The sequence below is a fragment of the Homo sapiens genome, chromosome 15, assembly GCF_000001405.40.
Source record: "Homo sapiens chromosome 15, GRCh38.p14 Primary Assembly".
Lineage (NCBI taxonomy): Eukaryota > Metazoa > Chordata > Mammalia > Primates > Hominidae > Homo > Homo sapiens.
This window is the reverse complement of record NC_000015.10, coordinates 42,839,297-42,860,376: the sequence shown is the minus strand read 5'-3', so window position 1 is coordinate 42,860,376 and position 21,080 is coordinate 42,839,297. Positions and strand designations below refer to the sequence as shown.

Sequence of the window (21,080 nt, the reverse complement as noted above, 5' to 3'; positions counted from 1 at the left end):
CAAACTGCTTCTTCAGAGTCAGAATTGTTTCTTTATCTTTGATTTTTGATAGCTAGAAAATAGTATGTTTAGATGTAGGTTTTTGGGGTTTTTTGTTTGTTTGTTTGTTTTGCATTTATCCCACTTGGCGTTTTCTGAATTTCCTGGATTTGTGGTTTGGTGTTTGATATTAACTTGGGGAAATTCTTAGTCATTGATTCATATAGTTACCTGTTCCTTTCTCTCTTTCCTTTCTGGTGTTCCCTTTGTGTATGGTTGTGTTATGTCTTTTATAGTTGTTCCTTAATCCTTTCTTCTGTTTCTTTGTTTTCTTTTTTTGTCTTTGTCCTCTTTGATTTTCTCTTTTGGAGGTTTCTGTAGATACATCCTCAAGCTCAGATACTTTTTTTTTTCTCCTCAGCTGTGTCCAGTCTACTAATAAGCCTATAAAAGGCATTCATCATTTCTGTTACAGTGTTCTTGATCTTTAGTGTTTTCTTTTCGTTCTTTCTTAGGATTTTCATCTCTGCTTACATTACCCACCTCTTCTTGCATGCTGTCTACCTTATCCATTAGAGCCCTCAGCATATTAATCAGTGTTGTTTTAAATTCCTGATCTGATTGTTTCAACATCCCTGCCATGTTTGGTTCTGATATTTATTTGCTTTTTCTATTCAAATTGTGTTTTTTTTGCCTTCTAGTATTCCTTGTATATTTTTCTTGATGGCTAGACATAATGTACTGCATAAAAGCAAATGCCAAAAATAGACTGTTAGTAATGTGGTAATGGGTGGAGAGAGGGGAGGCATTCCATAGTCCTATTATTAGTTCTCAGTTTTTTAGTGTGCCTATACTTCTGGACTGTGAAGCACCTCCTAAGTGCTTCTAGTCCCCCCGCACCCCATTAGGTGAGACAGGATAGTTAGAATGGGTTGCATTTGGGTATTTCCTCTCCGCCAGATCCATTAAGCTTCAGTAAAACCCCAGGCCAGGTATGGTGCACTGCTCATGCCTGTAATCCCAGCACTTTGGGAGGCTGAGGTGGGTGGATTGCTTGAGCCCAGGAGATTGAGATCAGCCTGGGCAATGTGGTGAAATCCCACCTATACAAAACATACAAAAAATTATCTGGACATGGTGGTGTGCACCTGTAGTCCCAGCTACTCAGGAGGCTGAGAGGTGGGAAGATCACTTGAGCCCAGAAGGTCAAGGCTGCAGTGAGCTGTGATTATGCCACTGCACTCCAGCCTGGGCAACAGAGTAACACCCTGCCTGATAAAATACAAAAATTAAAATTAAAATTAAATAAAAAATAAATAAATAAAACAAACTCCAGCAGGTTAGGTGTAGTTAACTTATTTCTCCTGAGGGCAGACCTTGTTAGGAAGAACAGAATGCTGTGGCATATTTAAAAATGGTTCCTTTTCTCTTCTCCCTGCTGGAAGCATGAGGGAATTTTTCTCCTATATATACTGTAAAAAACTAGTTGAACTCCTGGAGATAAAACTCACAAAAGCATGACTTCTGTCTAATATTTCTGTAAATTTCAGGGAACATACCTATGACTAGGTACCCCTGAAGTTTTAAAGTATTGGGCTTGTTGACACCTAGCCTCCAGCAATCTGTCAGTTGCAATTCAGGTTTTTCTACTCTGGCACTGGTTCCCGTGTATGATTCTGCTCTGGTATGTCATAACTCTCTGTGTCTGCCCATCTCTCTTTCCAATTTTGGAGGCAGCAGTTTGCTCTAAGAAGAGTTGGTGATTTTTTCACTTGTTCGGCTTTGTACTTGTTGATAGAATGGCATGGCAGCTTCCATGTTCCTCACTTGTGGAACTGGAAATGAAGTCCCTTACTCTAATTTTTTATTATGAAAAATTTAAATATGTACCAAAATAGAATTATATAATGAACATTCATGTATCCAAAACTCAGCTCAGTCTTAATAAGCATCAGCATTTTGGCCAATATTGTTGCAAATATATCCTACCCCTTCAACATTTTTTCCCCACGTTTCTGGAGTACTTTAAAATAAATTATAGACGTCATATAATTTTTTGAGTATGTATCTCTGTCTAACAAATGGGGGCTCCTTTGTTTTTGTAATGAAAATATTCTTTATAGATAAATATACTTTGTTTTATAGATTTGTGTTCCTAGTTTCTAGTCAGAGAATCTGTGGAGATGGGGTAGGGGGTGTTTGGAGATGTATCAAAATTTGGCAGACATTACTTTGCCTGTGAGAGCTTAGTTGATGATTGGTGATTTTGTGAATCCATTAACTTTGGTTTTGTTGTTGTTGTTGTTGTTGTTGTTTTGGGTTTTTTTTTGAGACAAGGTCTTGCTCTGTCGCTGGACTGTGAGCTCGGCTCACTGCTGCCTCCACCTCCCAGGTTCAAGTGATCCTTGTGCCTCAGCCTCCCTAGTAGCTGGGACGACAGGCATGTGCCACCATGCCTGGCTAATTTTTGTATTTTTAGTAGAGACAGAGTTTCACCATGTTGGCCAGGCTGGTCTTGAACTCGTGATCTCAGGTGATCCACCTGCCTCAGCCTCCTAAATTACTGGGATTACAGATGTGAGCCACAGAGCCTGGCCCCATTAACTTGTACTTACTAGAGCATAGAAAGTTTTTGCCACTTATCCATTGCCAAAAAAAAAAATTGTATGAAAGTTTTTATGTAAGAACGTATTAGAAGTAGCTGTGTTAAGCATTAGGGAAATTTGAGGGATCTGTATTGTTGAAAAGTAAAATAATAGGCTGTAGAATTTCCTCAGGTGACCAGTTTTAAGAATGGATTAGAGACTCATTGGAGAGGAAACCCACGTTCTCAGTTTTTCTTTCTTTTAATGAATGGACTTTTTTTTTTTCTTTATTTTAGACAGGTTCTCATTCTGTTGCTTAGGCTGGAGTACAGTGGCACAATCATGGCTAACTGCAGTCTTGAACTCCTGGGCTCAGGCAATCCTTCTGTCTCAGCCTCTTCAGAAGCTGGGACTTCAGGTACATGCCACTATGCACAACTAATTTTTTAAAAAAATTTTTGTAGATATGGGGTTTTGCTATATTGCCCAGGCTGGTCTTGAACTCCTGGCCTCACACAATCCTCCTGCCTTGGCCTCCCAAAGTGCTGAGATTACAGGCATGAGCCACTGCACCTGGCCCTGGACTTTACTTTTTAGAACTGTTTTAGGTTTACACAAAATTGAGTAGAAAGTACAAAGTTCCTGTATACAGACTTCCCATCCAGTTTTCCCTATTATTAACATCTTGCATTCTTGTGATACAGTTGTTACAACTGATGAACCAATATTGATAGATTTTTTTTTTTTTTTGTGAGACAGAGTCTAACTCTGTTGCCCAGGCTGGAGTGCAGTGGCGTGATCTCAGCTCACTGCAACCTCTGCCTCCAAGGTTCAAGAGATTCTCCTTCCTCAGTTTCCTGAATAGCTGGGATTACAGGTGTGTGCCACCACATCCGGCTGATTTTTATAGTTTTAGTAGAGGCAGGGTTTTGCCATGTTGGCCAGGCTGGTCTTGAATGCCTGACCTCAGGTGATCCCCCGCCTCAGTCTCCCAAAGTGTTGGGATCACAGGTGTGAGCCATCACGCCTGGCATTAGATTTTTATTAACTGAAGTCCACAGTTTACATTAGGGGATTCTTTTTCTTTTTTCATAAAAAAAATTTTTTTTTAAGTAGAGACAAGGTCTCACTATGTTGAGAACTTGAACTGCTGGCCTCAAATGATCTTTTTGTTTCGGCCTCCCAAAGTGATTCTTTTCTTAATAATGTGAACACAGTGGTATTGAAAACCTAACAAAATTAACCGTTATTTTACAATACCATCTCATATCTATCCAGTATTTAATTTCTCCCATTGTCTCAAAAATATCATTTTACAGGTGGCTTTGTTCAAATTAGGATTTATATACAAGGCAGGCACATTGCATTATATTTTGTTGCCATGTCACAGTTTGTTCTCACCTACTTTTTTTTTTCCCTTGCCTTCACATTTTTTTTGTTGAAGGAATGAAGTTCTTAGTTTGATAAAATAGTCCGAAATCTGGATATGGCTGATTGCATCCTTGTGGTGTCTTTTAATGTGTTCTTCCATCCTTCATATTTCTTGTGAACTCCTAATTAGATCTAGAGGATTAATGAGATTCATGCTGTTATTATTGTTGGGAAGAATTTATCACCTACATTCATTGTTTTCATTAGGGATTGCAAAATGGTGGTTTTCCTAATTCTCTGATTCCTTCTAAATTCCTTAACTGGAATTATTCTACAAAGTAGAATGTTATTCCATCATTTGTTTCCCTTGAAATATAGTTAGTATAGGAAGGACAGGATAAAGGGATTGAGTTTTCTTCTCTTTTGTTTATCAATTTTCAGAATAATAAGTTGTGGTCTTGGCTGGGCATGGTGGCTCACGCCTGTAATCCTAGCACTTTGGGAGGCTGAGGTGGGCAGATCACAAGGTCAGGAGATCGAGACCATCCTGGCTAACACGGTGAAACCCCGTCTCTACTAATACAAAAAAATTAGCCGGGCGAGGTGGCGGGCGCCTGTAGTCCCAGCTGCTCGGGAGGCTGAGGCAGGAGAATGGCGTGAACCCGGGAGGCGGAGCCTGCGGTGAGCCGAAATCGCACCACTGCACTCCAGCCTGGGCGACAGCAAGACTCCGTCTCTAAATAAATAAATCAATATATAATAAATAAATAAATAAGTTGTGGCCTTATATGACCAGTGATTTGTTTTTCGTTTTGAGTATCATTATGAACTCATGCCTTTTTCTGTATTTTATTTCAAACCATTGAAATCATTATCCTTTTGAAGCTTAAATTTCGTATCTTTCACCAGTAGAAGCTCTTTTGCATTGGCTTCTGTGTTCTTCTTGTATAACTCCAGTATTCTTTGATGTCATCCTTGTTTTCTGGCACAGCAGAGTATTTCAGATGTTCCTTAAACTTTTTCTGTGCCATATTCAGAATCAGGAGCCTTGTTTCTCCTAGTAACTCTGTTTCCTTGTATTGGGAAACAATTGAGACCACAGTATGACCACTAGGGTACTAATTGCTATTGGGCTAACACACTTCTCTCAATAGGTTTTAATAAGGACTGTATTTTGCCTTGTTTATTATCTTGTGCACTTTTCAACTTGTGTTATGATACTTAAAAAAATAAATTTTCAGGAGGCTGAGGCAGGAGAATCACTTGAACCCGAGAGGCCTGAGGTTGCTGTGAGCCGAGATTGCGCCATTGGACTCCAGCCTGGGTAACAGAGTGAGACTCTATCTCAAAAATAAATAAAGAAATAAATTTGTATTTTCTTTTAAATTGTAGGCCTCTTAAAAAGCAGAGATTATGTATATTTAAACTTGACTTTTATATTATGCTTAGTGGCAAAATAACAGCACAAAGTATCTTTATATTCAATTATAGCATACATTTGTAAATTGATGTGGGAAGATAGGATAACATACCTATTCCATTTCTGGTTATTTACTTCATAAACTTTATTGTTGATTTTTTTTCTGAGTAAGAAAAATAAATACTGAGGTTCTGTAATAATTTGCTGAAGAGTGCTATAAATACTCGTTGACAGTTACCTTTGGATGACTAAGGCTCCGAGTCCCAAGACCGTGTCATATAGACAGTCAACTCTTTATTATAATGGAAGCCAGTCCCTTGGATCTTCCAGGAAATTTTCATTTGGTTTAAGGATTTGAGGTTTTTTTTTTTTTTCTCTTGCATATAGGTTGGTCTAATGTTTTAGGAATTCAGAATATTGTAAAATTCCTATTACAGTAAGTCCTCACTTAAGTCTCAGTAGGTTCTTGGAAACTGCAACTTTAAGCAAAACAACGTATAACAAAACCAATTGTTTTTCCTCACCAACGTTATGACAGAATGACTTTGAACTCAATAAGGTTTTTCAAGGACTGAATTACGTTACATGTTGTTTTGCTTAAAGCCCAGAACCTCTCAATGACATTAAATGAGGACTTGCTGTATTTATATTTAGTGTATCTTTTTATCAAAGGAAATCTTCTTAGGATCTTTAAAAGTTTATACATCATTTACTGGCTTCTAATTGGTATATAAATATTTACTTGAGCATAACAAAATGTTTTTCTTTTAAAAGTATTCTGTAGGCCAGGTGCAGTAACTCATGCCTCTAATCCTAGCACTTTGGGAGGCCAAGGCAGGAGGATCACTTGAGGCCCAGGAGTATGAGATCGGCCTGGGCAGCATAGCGAGAGACCCTGTCTCTACAAAAAATAAAAAAATTAGCCAGCTGTAATCATGTGCGCCGGTGGACCCAGCTACTTGAGAGGCTAAGGTAGGAGGATCACTTGAGCCCAGGAGATCAAGGCTGCAGTGAGCCATAATTATGCCACTGTGTTCCAACCTGGGTGACAGAGTGAGACCCCGTGTCTAAGTAAATAAATAAAAAAAAAATATTCTGTAGATCTGATTTCTCATTTATTTTTTATTTTTTATTTTTTTTTGAGACGGAGCCTTCAACTGTTGCCCAGGCTGGAGTGCAGTGGTGCCATCTCGGCTCCCTGCAACCTCCACCTCCCAGGTTCAAGTAATTCTTCTGCCTCAGCCTCCTGAGTAGCTGGGATTACAGGTGTGCTCGTTTATTCTTATGTGTGTTCGCTCCATAGTATGTTCAATCTGACGATGTTGGTTATATTTAAAAATCACTACTTAAGTCAGTGATGAATAGAAAGTTGTTTGGCCCTTCTTTTCCATGTTAGCTCTTTATGCTGCGAGTGATCAGCATCATCTCTTGTACTTTTTCATTTTTCAGTGTACCATCCTGAGTAGAACTGATGTTTTTCTGTTTTTTCCCTTGGATGAGAAGGTAATTAATTGAAGGATTATTTAATTATTTTAAATTTTTCTCCTTTCCATCATCTAAAGTGAGTGGAGGTCCAACTAATACCAAAAAATAACAGAATAAATGTCATTGTTTGATAATGAAACAATTTTATTCTCAGTTGAGATATTTGGGAATTAATTTGTCTTGCCTCATATAAATTCAGGAAAAACTACATTTTTCTTTATAGGTCATGAAGAGGAAATGCTTTTGCTTTGATTTTCAGGGATTTTTTTTTTTACCCTGAAATACTGGTCCTGGATTTTATTTTTGCCTTTTAGGCTACAGAGCACAAGCTGAGAGTTGGTTACTGTTACAGGAGAAGTAACTATTACTGTTACTGTTATAGGAGAGGAACTGCACCTGTTCTGCCTTCCCTGGAGACTTCCCTGAAGTCTCCAGCTACTGCTGCAAAGTATGACTGCTCCTTTTTCCCAGTCATAAGAATAGAAGAAATATGTAATTTCTGGATTAGACAACTGGTTTATCCAGTATAGAAGACTGTGAAAATTGCTCCACAGGGACCTTTTGTGGGAGGGCATAATAGTTACATACTGGGACCTGAAAGATTAGGGATACATCCTTACCCTTCATTCTATCCTTTAACCTTATGTAAACATATAATCTACTCTTTTGTTTATTTCATCCTCTGCATTTTTCTTCTCCTAAAGTAACTTTTTGCTTGTCCTTGTTGATGTTCATTGTTCCACCAAAGGGTGTATGGAGGTCTCTGAGAACTATCTGTTGAATACGTTCATTTTCACGTTTTTCTCCTTGGAAGATGTAACATTATCTGTAGGCTTGAGGATTCGTTTACTCATTACTCTGCTTTCATTTAGAAAAATGACATGTAGAGAATAGGTCTAGATTATTTTAAGGAGCAGAGGTCTATTTCCTTGAAATGGAATAGAATATGTGTGTCTTTGCCTGAAAACACACGTACATATTTATATATGCTCCATATGCACAAAGAACATTTGGAATCACATATAACTCAAGAAGCCCCTGAGGTGATTAGAATCAGAGGAGTCAGAAAAGGAGAAGATATTTTACTTTTTCCCTTTATACCCATTGTATTGTAATGTAATTAAAAGCTATTTTGTGTTGTGAACTTAATGTATACATAGTTGGTAATGGCTGGGTACAGTGGCTCACGCCTGTAATCCCAGCACTTTGGGAGGTTGAGGTGGGTGGATCACTTGAGGTCAGGAGTTCAAGACCAGTCTGGCCAACATGGTAAAACCCCGTCTCTACTAACAATACAAAAATTAGCTGGGCCCGGTGGTGCATACCTGTAGTCTAGCTACTCAGGTGGCTAAGGCAGGAGAATCACTTGAACCTGGGAGGCAGAGGTTGCAGTGAGCCGAGATCGCGTGACTGCACTCCCGCCTGGGTGACAGAGTAAGACTCCATCTAAAAAAAAAAAAAAAAGTTGGTAATATCTTATGTGTCGGGACATCTATACTACTTGTTTGAGTGCTAACGATATGGTAGAACAGTGCTACTGAATGTTAGGCTCGTTGATACTTTATCTTGTTTTAGTATCATTCATATATAACTAATATCCAGTTCGTGCATAAACCCTTCCTCCATTTCACTAATAAACATTTTTAAGAGTGTAAATGGTCACAATAAGAAACTTGAAAATCAACACAACAGAATAAAGTGAGAAGTAAGTTTCCTTTAAGCCCCTCACTTTCTTCCCCACTGTTATCTACTGTTACCGGTTTCCTGTGTATCTTCCAGAAATGTTCTATGCATATTATAATCAGCTCTATATATCTATGTATAGATATATATATACACATATATACGCACACATATAGAAAATCATATATCTAAAATAATATATAATCATCCATATGTTTATATATGTATGTATATATAAAATCCCCCTCCATTACCCACCTTCCACAACAACATATGGAATCAAACTATATATGCTGTTCTGCAACTCACTGTGTCCCTTAAATTCAGTCACTAAGATTTATTTTCTATTCACCTGAATGTTTTGCTGCAAGAGTGATCCTTCTAACATACTAAACAGTTATGTCACTCCCCAGCCTTTAGTAGAAACTATTCATAATCTTCTTTTTCTCATGTAAAGTCCACACACTGTAACATGGCATACAAAACACTGAACCGACCCCTGCCTGCTTCTTCTGCTTTTTCTGTCGAAAATGTTGGGCTTATACCCAGAGTGCTGGTCATCCTGAACTATTTTCAGTTTCTTTTCTTTCTTTTTTTTTTTTTTCTGAGACAGAGTTTTGCTCTGTCGCCGAGGCTGGAGTGCAGTGGCATGATCTCTGCTCACTGCAAGCTCCGCCTCCCGGGTTCATGCCATTCTCCTGCCTCAGCCTCCCAAGTAGCTGGGACTACAGGCGCCCACCACCACGACCGGCTAATTTTTTTATTTTTTTATTTTTTTATTTTTTTATTTTTAGTAGAGACGGGGTCTCACTGTGTTAGCCAGGATGGTCTCAATTTCCTGACCTCGTGATCCACCCTCCTCAGCCTCCCAAAGTGTTGGGATTACAGGCATGAGCCACCGCGCCTGGCCATATTTTCAGTTTCTTAAGGCTTACAGCCTCTCACCTGCAAACTGCTTCTTTTTTCTCACACTTTGGGTAATTCCTGCTTTTTTTTCTTCTTTTAAAAAATGTATAATAGTCCTAATATTTATAAAAGTCCACAGGTCATACAAGATTCAAAGACAAGAAGCAAAGTACAATTAAGAACTTCACTTTTTTTCACATAGATATAATGTCCAAAAGTGTATATGCTTTAAAAAAATTGTGATTCTACTAACTTGCTTTTTCCCTCTTCCTCAATAAGATTATTACAGGATTTATTTTTAATTTTTAATTAAGATCCAGGTTATACAAGTAGTTTAAAATAATGAGTTCTACAAAGTTTGTTAAGAAAAACAGTAGTCCAGGTTCTGGTTCCAGATAAGATGGAGTAAGCGCACTTCACTCTGTCTCTCCCACTGAATGCAGCTAAAAACCTGGGCAAAATTCTTGGAGTGGCTATTTGAGGACTCTGAAAAGTAAATTGTAGGAGACAGACTGGGGAAGAAGACCAAAATTCAAAGTACCATTGAACCAGCAGTGGGTTTACCATTTTTTTCTTCCAGTATACCCCAGCCTGAACTTAATGTATCCTGCAACTTGGAAGTGAGCATTGACATGGACAGAAAATGCGTCGAGAGAAGTCTTCTAGTTCTGACTCAAGGAGGAGGAAAGGGGTCTCCTAATGCCCAGAGAAAGCATGGAAATCCTACATCTTTCTCTCTTTTTTTCTTTTCTTTATTCTCTTATACCCGGGCCTCAAACAGTCCTTGACAGTGGCTGCAGTGGCCTCAATGGGGGCAGGCAAGAGCCTAAAATAGAGGGAGAGGATCCTTCTTCTCAGATGGGAGGAACTGTGGTCTGAAGAGAGTTGGGAAAATCCCCACTGCTTTTTTTCTCCCTCTGCCGTTCTGTTGCTTGGCCCTGCCTGATGTGGGCACAGTCATGGGAAGTACTCTGCAGAGTGGTGTTAGTAAAGCCCCAGAGTTCTGCTGGAAGACTGGAAAAGGGGAGCCCCAGTGAAATGAAAGATTGTAGAAGAGGGAAGAACTTGGAACACTGACCACCTAAAGTTGCTTTTGGACTCCTGAGCTGACCTCCAATCTGTGCATGCATGGGTCCAATCCTAAACAGCATATATGGACTTTGAGAATTGAATTATGGGATAGACCACTGCCCACATCCCAAATGGGAAACCACGTGGGGTACTTATGGAACACATTAAATATAACTGCAAAGGCTTTGAAAACTGAATTGACATTAGAAATACAACCTACAGAAGGCCAGTCAGAACTTGAAGCATGAACTCAACTTGGTCAATTACTGGCTAAAGCAAAAATACCAACATTCTTGGTGGAACTTGAATAAGACCTAGAGTCTCATAACATAATATTCAAAATGTCCAGAATACAACCTAGAATCACTCAGCTTAGAAAGAATCAGACAAATCTGAATTCATATAGAAAAAGATAGAACATAGATGCCAATGCTAGGATCATACAGATGTTAAAATTATATTAAAAAGACTTTAAATCAGCCATTATGACTTTGCTACAAGAATGAGCAGGAAGATAGACAATCTTAGCAAGGGAATAGAAGATATAAAGAACAACTAAATGGAACATTTAGACCCAAGATGTACAATTACAGACATAAAAAACTCACTGAATGGGCTCAATAGCAGAATGGACATGATAGATGAAAGATTCAGTGAACTTGAAAACAGATCAGTAGAAATGATCTAATCTGAACAACAAAGAAAAAACATGTAAAAAAAAAAACAGAGCCTCAGTGACCTATGAGATAATATCAAAACATCTTACATTTGTGTCATCAGCAATCCAGAATGAGACTGAGTTTGGTGCAGCAAAGATATATAAAGAAATAATGACATACAGGCTGAAAAGGAGGAAATAAAACTGTTCCTGTTTGTGGATGACATGATTGTCTATATAGAAAATCCCAAGAATCATAAAAACTTCCTAGAATAAGTGAGTTTAGCAAGTGATACAAGATCAGGCCACAAAAAGCAACCATATTTCTGTGTACTAGCAATGAACAATTGAGAACTGAATTTTAAAAAGTTCAGTAACTCCAAAAGAAGTACATAGTGTATAAATGTAACAAAATATATGCCAGATCTGGGCTGGGCACAGTGGCTCACGCCTGTGATCCCAGCACTTTGGGAGGCTTAGGTGGGCGGATCACCTGAGGTCAGGAGTTCGAGACCAGCCTGACCAACATGGAGAAACCCCGTCTCTACTAAAAATACAAAATTAGCCGAGCATGGTGGTGCATTCCTGTAATCCCAGCTACCTGGGAGGCTGAGGCAGGATAATCGCTTTAACCCGGGAGGTGGAGGTTGCAGTGAGCTGAGATCGCACCATTGTACTCCAGCCTGGGCAACAAGAGTGAAACTCTGTCTCAAAAAAAAAAAAAAGTATATGTATATATTCTGTATGCTGAAAACTATAAAACCCTGATTAAAGAAATAAAAGAAGATTTAAATAAATGGAGAGGCATACCATATTCATTAATTGGAAGGTTCACTATAGTAAAGATGTTGATTCTCCCCAATTGATCTATAGATTTAATGAAATAATAATAAAAATCCCAGCAGTACTTTTTGTAGTTATAGAGAAGCTGATTCTAAAGTTAATATAGAAGGGCAAAGGACCTAGAGTAGCCAAAACAATGTTGAAAAAGAAGAAGAATGTTGGAAAAAAAATCAAATCACATAGAGAATAGATTTTAAGTATTCTTATTAAAAATGTCTTTGTGAGGCATGTTATTAGTTTGAGCCATTCCATCATGTATACATGTCTTCAAAACATCATGTTTATACAATAAAAATGTATAATTTCTGTCAATTAAAAAACACCTAGTGAGACCCGCATCTCTATAAACTAAGAAAAAAAAATAAACTCAACATGGTTGTACATGTCTGTAGTCCCCCGCTGCTCGGGAGGCTGAAATGGGAGGATTGCCAGAGCCCAGGAGTTTGAGTGCACTATGATTGTGCCACCATACTCCAACCTAGGTGACAAAGTGAGATCCTGTCTAAAAATATAAAATATAAGCAAAGAAACTATATGATTTTAAAACGTAGTACAGAACTAGGATAATCAAGACTGTGGTATTGGCAAAGGGATAGACATATAGATCAAGTGGAATAAAATAGAGATTTTGGACATAGGCTGACCCACACAAAGAAGGCCAATAATAATCTACAAAGTTGCAAAGGCAATTTGGTGGAAAACGAACAGTCTTGGTGTTGGAACTATCAGGCATCCTTTTACAAAAGTAATGAACCTCCGCCTAAACTACACACATTATGCAAAAATTTACTTAAGATGTGCCACACATCTAAATGTGAGATATAAAGCTGTGTAACTTTTAGAAGAAAACATGGAGAAGATCTTTGTAACTTGAGTTTAGGCAAGAAGCTTGTCAAATGACAACAAAAGCATGATTCATAAAATTAAAAAATTGATAATTTGGATTTCATTAAATTAAAAACTTTGCTTCCAAAAGACATTATGAAGAGAATGAAAAGACAAGTTACAGAGTGGAAGAAAAATATTTGCAAATCACCTGCAAAGGACTTATTTTCAGAATATATAAAGCACTCTGAAAACTCAACAATAAGAAAACAAACAATTAAAAATATTTAATAAGCTTTTACAGGTACTTCAAAGAAGATATAGAGTGTTAAATCAGTTCATGAAAAGATGTTTAACATGACTAAACATTAGGAGAATGCACAGTGAGATACCACTGCACACCATTAGAATGGCTTAAACTGTACTTCTGACTGGCTGCAACCTGGGGCTCCCTTGATTCCCCCCTCCTTGGGTTTGATTAACGTGCTAGGATGGCTCACAGAACTCAGGGAAACATGTTTACCAGTTTATTAAAAAGGATATTGCAAAAGATACAGATGAACAGCTGGATGAAGAGATGGATAAGTGTGAGGTATGGGGGAGTGGGGAGCTTCTGTGCCCTCTCTGGGTAGGCCACCCCCCCAGCACTTCCACTTATTCAGCAAACCAGAAGCTCACACATCTCATTGTTCAAGAGTCTTTATAGAGCTTAATCTCTAGCCCCTCCCACTCACCTTTCCTGGAGGTTGGTGGGTGAGGCTGAAAGTTCCAATCCTCTCCTCTAAGCACTTTGTCTTTCTGGTGACTGCCCCTGTCCTGATTATATAGGGGCTTCGTCCAAGTTACCTGATTAACATAAACTCAGGTGTTATCAAAAGAGTAATAAATAACAAAGACATTTCTATCACTCAGAAAATTCCACAAGTTTTAGAAACCAGGTGACAAGTACCAGGGACAGAGACTAAATATATTTCATATTATAGTTGGTTGTTCCTGTCAGTGGGTTCCACATCCATGCATTCCACATCTGTGGATGCAACCAACCACAGATTGAAACTATTAGGAAAAAGGCTGGGCATGGTGGCTCACATCTGTAATCTCAGCACTTTGGGAGGCCTAGGTGGGGGTATTATTTGAGATCAGGAGTTTGAGACCAGCCTGGCCATCAGCCTGTCTCTACTAAAAATACAAAAATTAGCCGGGCATGGTGGTGCACGCCTGTAATCCCAGCTTCTTGGGAGGCTGAGGCACGAGAATTGCTTGAACCTGGGAGGCAGAGGTTACAGTGAGATGAGATCAGTCCACTGCACTCCAGCCTGGGTGACAGAGCAGACTGTCTCAAAAAAAAAAAGAAAGAAAAAAGAAAAAAAATTAGGAAAAAAATATTGCGTCTGTACTAAATATGTATAGACTTTTTTTTTTTCCTGTAATTATTTCCTAAACAATCAGTATGGCAACTATTTGCATAGCATTTACATTGTATTAGGTATCATAAGTAATCTAGAGATTATATATAGTCATGCATCACACAACAGCATTTTGTTCAGTGACAGACGGTGGTCCTATAAGATTATAATACTATGTTTTTAGTGTACCTTTTGCACGTTTAGGTACATAAATACTTAACCGTTGTGGTATAACTGTCTATAGTATGCAATACAGTAACATGCCATACAGGTTTCTAGCCTAGGAGCAATAGGCTGTACCATATAGGCCTAGGCATGTAGTAGGCTAGACCATCTAGGTTTTTGTAAGCACACCCTATGATGTTTGCACAGTGACTAAATCACCCAAGGATGCATTTCTCAGCACATATCCCTGTTGTTTTGCAAAGCCTGACTGTATATGGGAGGATGTGCCTAGCTTACATGGAAAATAGTACCCCATCTTTTTTTTTTTTTTTTTTTTTTTTTTTTTGAGATGCAGCCTTGCTCTGTCGCCCAGGCTGGAGTGCAATTGTGCGATCTCGGCCCACTGCAACCCCCGCCTCCCAGGTTCAAGTGATTCTCCTGCCTTAGCCTCCTGAGTAGCTGGGATTATAGGTGCCTACTGCGATGGGGTTTCACCAGGTTGGCCAGGCTGGTCTTGAACTCCTGACCTCAGGTGATCCACCCACCTCGGCCTCCCAAAGTGCAGGGATTACAGGCGTGAGCTACTGTGCCTGGCAGGTACCCCATTTTTTATCAGAGACTTGAGCATTGGTGGATTTTGGTATCCAAGGAAGGTCTTGGAACCAGTCCTCCATGGATACCAAGGGACAACTGTATACCACAGTGGCATATAAGGTTTTAGCTTACTTTTCTTGTCTGATCCTACTTCCCACCTCAGCCCACCTTAACTCGTATCAAGTCCTCTAGCCTGTCAGCTCTATTAATTATTTATCACATGTACTTAGATCCTTTATGACTTTGTGGGTGACCTTTTAGAATACTCTTCTCAAAAACTTGTAAAATCTAGTGATTTAATGCTTATGTGAAGCCTCATAAGCCAAATTTTTGAATCTTCTTTATATCCATAGCAGTTTATGTATAATATTATAGAACTCATACTGTATTACTTTTTTTGTTTACGTATCTTGGCTGTGAACTCTTTGAGGGCATGGATCTTACTTAATTTATCTTGTATTTCTAGTGCCTAGTTTAGTGCTTGGCATATAGTAGGTCGTCCTGTTTCTGTTCTGTCACAGTCTTTCTTTCCCTTTTAGTTTTAATACTTATAGACAAGGTGTTACATGATTTTAAAATCTGTTTCTGTCATTTCTGGGCATAATGGTTAAGAGCAAAGGCTCTGGAATTAAACTGCTTCATGTTCTGGTTGTAATTTTGGACAAAGTAACCTCCCTAGGCCTCTATTTCTGTATTTGAAAAATGGAGAATATAATAATACTTACATTATTGGCAGGATTAAATGCATGTAACATGCTTGATATAGAGACTGGCATAAAATGCTTGCATATTATGTGTGCATATCATGCTTATTTATTTATGTATTTAGAGACAGGGTCTCACTCTGTCACCCAGGCTGGAGTCAGTGGCATGATCACAGCTCACTGCAGCCTTGACCTCCCAGACTCAACTGAGCCTTCCACTGCAGCTTCCTGAGTAGCTGGGACTACAGGCATGTGCCCCCACACCTGGCTAATTTTTGTATTTTTTGTAGAGTTGGGGCCTTGCCATGTTGTCCAGGCTGGTAACTCCTGGACTGAAATAATCCTCCCACCTCAGCCTTCCAAAGTGTTGGGATTACAGGCATGAGCCACTACTCCTGGCCCATATTATGCATGTTTTATTAGCCATTATTCTATTCATTTATTTACACATATTCATTGAGCATTTAAATCACTCTTTACTGTGCCAGGTATTGTGGGTATTGTGCCAGGTACTGTTACAGCCTAGCAGGTTCTTCTTGCCTGCTGCACAGAAAAAGCCAATACACTGAGACTGGTGTTGCAGCAGAGAGTTTAATAATTGCAGTGTGGCTCATTGAGGATGATGTGTGATATTTCTCAAATCTGCCTCCCTGAGAATTTGACAACTGGGTTTTTAAGGATAGTTTGGTGGGCAGGGGGCTAGGGAATGGGCACTGCTGATTGGTTGAGTTGGGGATGAAATCACAGGGGTATTGAAACTATCTTCATGTGCTGAGTCATTCCCTGGGTGGGGGACGCCTGGGTGGTGTCAGTTGGTCCACTAAAAAATATCTCAAACACCAGTCTTAGGTTTCACAATAGCAATGTTATCAGTAGGGGCAATTGAGAAGTTACAAATCTTTTTTTTTTTTTTTTTTTTTTTTGAGACCAAGTCTCTCTCTGTCGCCCAGGCTGGAGTGCAGCGGCGCAATCTTGGCTCACTGCAGCCTCCTCCTCCCGGGTTCAAGCGATTCTTCTGCCTCGGCCTCTTGAGTAGCTGGGACTACAGGCATGCGCTACCATGCCCGGCTGATTTTTGTATCTTTAGTAGAGATGGGGTTTCACCATATTGGCCAGCCTGGTCTCAAACTCCTGAACTCATGATCTGCCCGCCTCAGCCTCCCAAAGTGCTGGGATTACAGGCGTGAGCCACTGCGCCCAGCCAGAAGTTACAAATCTTATCACCACCAGCTAGTGACTCCTGAGTAGTAGGCAATTACAAAAAGGCAAGTTAGGAAACAATGACTAGTTATTATTTATACCTAAACCTTAACAGAATTCAGGCCCCTACCGTAATCCCGTTTTTGGCCTTTCATTAGTTTTATAAAAGCAGTTTCTGTCGCCAGAGAGTGGGTTTGTTTTGAGAAGGGGCCATTGTCATCCTTGCTTTAAAGTTAAACTGTAAACTAAATTCCTCCCATAGCCAGCTTGGCCTGTGTGTAGGGATGAGCAAAGGCAGTTAGCTTGTGATGTTAGAAGCAAGATAGAGTCAGCTATGTTGGATGTCTCTCACTGTTACAGTTTTTGCAAAAGTGTTTTTAGTACCAGAACAAGATAGATACGGTCCCTGTACATGACAGAAAAGTAGTCTTAAGGGATGGATAATACAAGGAAAACACTATTTAACTTATTTTTTATTGTTTCTTTGAAGCTGGAGGACAAGAGTAAGTTGCTAATGACCATCATTTTATCCTTTCATTCTTACTACAATGTAATAGATAACACTATTTTGCAAATATATGTAAAATACATGTTAAGTGATCAACATGTACTGTGTACATTGTGAATTATTGTGTTCTCCATTGCACCCATTCTTGCTAGCTTATACCCCCTTTATAAACAAAAACATAGAGAATGAGAGAACAGTCTTGTAACTGGTTGATAACACAGGTGCAAAAAAATGAGTCTTTTTTTTTTTTTTAGGGGAAGGGGTCTTGCTATGTTGCCCAGGCTGGTCTCAAACTCCTGGCCTCACGCAATCCTCCCACCTTAGCTTCCCAAGTAGCTGGGATTATAGGCAAAGCCACTGCACCTGGCTTTGCTGAGTCTTAATTGTATTTATGTTTTAAGTCAGTTAGGAGGCAAATTTTTTTTAGTGTTTCATCAGTCCACCAAATCTTCATCTTCAAGCTTTGGCCTGTTACTCTTCCTTACTTTCAAGCAAGCTCCTTCAAAGGCTGTCTGCCCTCATATTTCATATTCTCTTTACTCTTTAACCCATTATAAACTGGCTTCTGCCCCTTGACTCACTAATGACTTCCGGTTTATGTTAGTATTTCTCAGCCTTTCTATGTACTTGTCAATGTCCACTTCTGCCCTCATAAAGTGTTCTTCTCCCTTGGTTTCTGTGATACGGCTCTCTCAGTTTCCTCCTATCTTTCAGGCTATTCCTCTATTTCCTTGAGGGACTCTTATTTTTGCTCATGCTTTGAATGTTGCATTTTCTAGGGCAGGCATTGTGGCTCATGCCTGTAATCCCAGCACTTTGGGAGGCTGAGGTGGGAGGATTGCTTAAGCCCAGAGTTTGAGACCAGCCTGGGCAAGATATTGAGACCCTGTCTTTAAAATAATAATAATAATTAATGTTTCATTTTCCAAATTATGTGCTTAAGTTTCTTTTCCTCTTATATTACATTCTTTTACTTGTCAACCTTCCACGTATTGTCCATGAACTAATGGTTCCTCAGTGTACATCTGGAGCTCTGCCTTTTGGTCTTAGCACCAGGCCTGAACTTACAATGTCTACTGAATTCACTTGATTGTCCTAAAATTCAACATTTTAGTATCCCTTAAAATCTATACAGCCTACTATATTCTCATATTTTGATACAACTTTTCATTTAATTTTGCCAATTCTAGTAAAAAACTACATCTTTAATATTGGTCAGATTTATCTTATTTTATCTATCTCTAATCCCCTTATTCTTTCTCGTGGATATTGTAACTATCCCCCAGAGTGACCTTCTCCGCTAGAATTGACACCCTTGTGGTCTACCCGCCTCATTGCCGCCACAGTGTTTTAGTAGTTATTCTTTATCTTAAAATCTTTTCGATACTTCTCATTACCCTGCAGTAGTTTTCAAATCTCTATCCATGCCCTACCTGCTTTAGGATCATTTAAAGAACTTTTGAGGCCCGGTGCAGTGGCTTATGCCTGTAATCTCAGCACTTTGGGAGGCTGAGGCGGGCAGATCGCTTGAGCCCCGGAGTTTGAGACCAGCCTGGGCAATATGGTAAAACCCCATCTCTACAAAAAAATACAAAAATCAGCCAGGTGTGGTGGCACACACCTCTAGTCCCAGCTACTCGGGAGGCTGAGGTGGGAGGATCAGTTGAGCCCTCCAGGAGGCAGAGGTTGCAGTGAGCCAAGATCTTGCCACTGCACTTCAGCCTGGGCAGCAAAGTGAGACCCTGTCTCAAAAAAATAAAAAATAACAACGAACTTTTGAAAAGCTCATATTCTTTATCTTTCTCCACAGATTCTGAATCAATATAGAACTGAGGAATCTTTAAAAAGTTTTCCACTGCCTTCGGGTCAGTGGTGTCAAAAAACAAAAATAAAGTTTTCCGGCTGGTTTTCATAAGTAGCCAGGGTTGAAAAACACTAACCAATATATGTGGCTCAATTCTTTTGGGGGGTCTTTGCATGCTTTTCTTTAATGAGATTTCTGCTGTACCCCTGCTCCCCTCTATGCCCCAGCCAGCACATTTTTGGGTTTCTCAGATGGAACTCAGGTTGAAAATCACTGGGCTAATCCACATCAGTGAGGCCCAGAAAGATTGTTTGTCTTGCTGAAGTCATAACAATGAGTACCATAACATATCTGAAATTCAGGGTTTATATTCCTAACATAGTTCTTTTTTATTGCTCTTCTGTGGCTTCATATGTATTGTATCTGGGCAGGTTGATCTGAATTGACCACTTAATCTTTTCCTCCCTAAATAAGTTACCATACATTTGTTTCCTCATTCATATATTGTTTATTTATTCATTCAAATAGTCATTTATTTGACCACACAAAGGAATAGTACAGTGCCTGGGAGGAGAAGAGGTAGGTAGAAAATTTGAATAATATAAGTTTTCTATCCTTAAGGTTCTCAAGATGTATTTTATATTCAATCATAAAACACTATACAGAAAAGCAAATTATTAATTTTTTAAGAGAAACCATAGTATATTCTTTTCCACTGTTTTCTTTTTTTATCCAGGGAAAGACCATGTTTGTAGATTTATTGGCTGTGGGAGGAATGATCGATTCAACTATGTGGTCATGCAGTTGCAGGTAGGTTACCTTGAAAACGTATCTTTAAATTCTTCAGTTTTGATCAAAGTATACAATTACAGTGAATATGAATAAAAAGTAACAACAATCTTAGTACCATGTGAGAATGTTTTATACTATGCAGATGGAACTGTATTTAAACAGACTTGATACAGATTTTCCAAAAATGAAATAATTGTCTTTGTCCGCTATTTGAGTTGACCTGTATCTTTACTGATTGTCATCTTTGCAGTTTTCGATCCCTGCATGGATGAGGGGATATAATGTGAATCTTGCCCCTTCCACCCTTCATTACCTTAGGGGTTCCAGTTTTCCATTTGTATTCTAAAGTATTGTCTTAGTCTGTTTTGTGCTGCTGCAGAATACCCAAGACTGAGTAATGCATAAAGAACAGAGATTTATTTCTTACCATTCTGGAGGTTGGAAAATCCAAGATCTAGGGACCCATATCTTGCAAGGGACTTCTTGCTGCATCATTCCATAGTAGAAGTTGGAAGTGCAAGTAAGTATGCACATTAGCAAGGAAGGTGAAGAAGGGGTCCCAGCTCATCCTTTTTATCAGGAACCTACTTCCAAGATTACCCCACTTCCACACCAAAATATGTCTCAAAATAAGACATATATATGGCCAAAAAGCATATGAAAGAATGTTCAACATCACTAATCTTTAGAGAAATGCAAATCAAAACCACAGTAAGACACCAGCTCACACCAGTCAGAATGACTATTATTAAAAAGTCAGAAAATAACAGATGCTGGTGAGATGGTGGTGAAAAGGAAACACTTATACACTGCTGGTGGGAATATAAATTAGTTCAGCTACTGTGGAAAGCAGTCTAGAGATTTCTCAGAGGACTTAAAACAGAACTACCATTCAACCTAGCAATCCCATTACAGGGTATATACCCAAAGGAATAAAATCATTCTACCAGAAAGACACATGCACTTATGTGTTCATTGCAGCACTATTCACAATAGCAAACAAGTGGAATTAACCTTACATGCCCATCAATGGTGAACTGGATAAAGAAAATGTGGTACGTGTATACCATGAAATACTACA

At 39.0% G+C, this 21,080-nt stretch overlaps 1 protein-coding gene across 9 annotated transcripts in view; it reads left to right on the top strand.

Annotated features, from left to right (window-relative positions):
• The window catches only part of TTBK2 (tau tubulin kinase 2), a 182,271-nt gene that overhangs the window by 60,624 nt on the left and 100,567 nt on the right, over positions 1-21,080 (top strand). For 8 of the 9 annotated variants that reach the window (XM_006720402.5, XM_047432189.1, XM_005254173.6 and 5 more), the window contains one exon: positions 19,944-20,017. In XM_006720402.5, the coding sequence (XP_006720465.1) occupies positions 19,944-20,017 (74 nt within the window). Of the gene's footprint in view, positions 1-6,836; positions 6,859-19,943; positions 20,018-21,080 lie in introns of those variants that run through there. The other variant, XM_017021950.3, reaches the window with a different exon arrangement.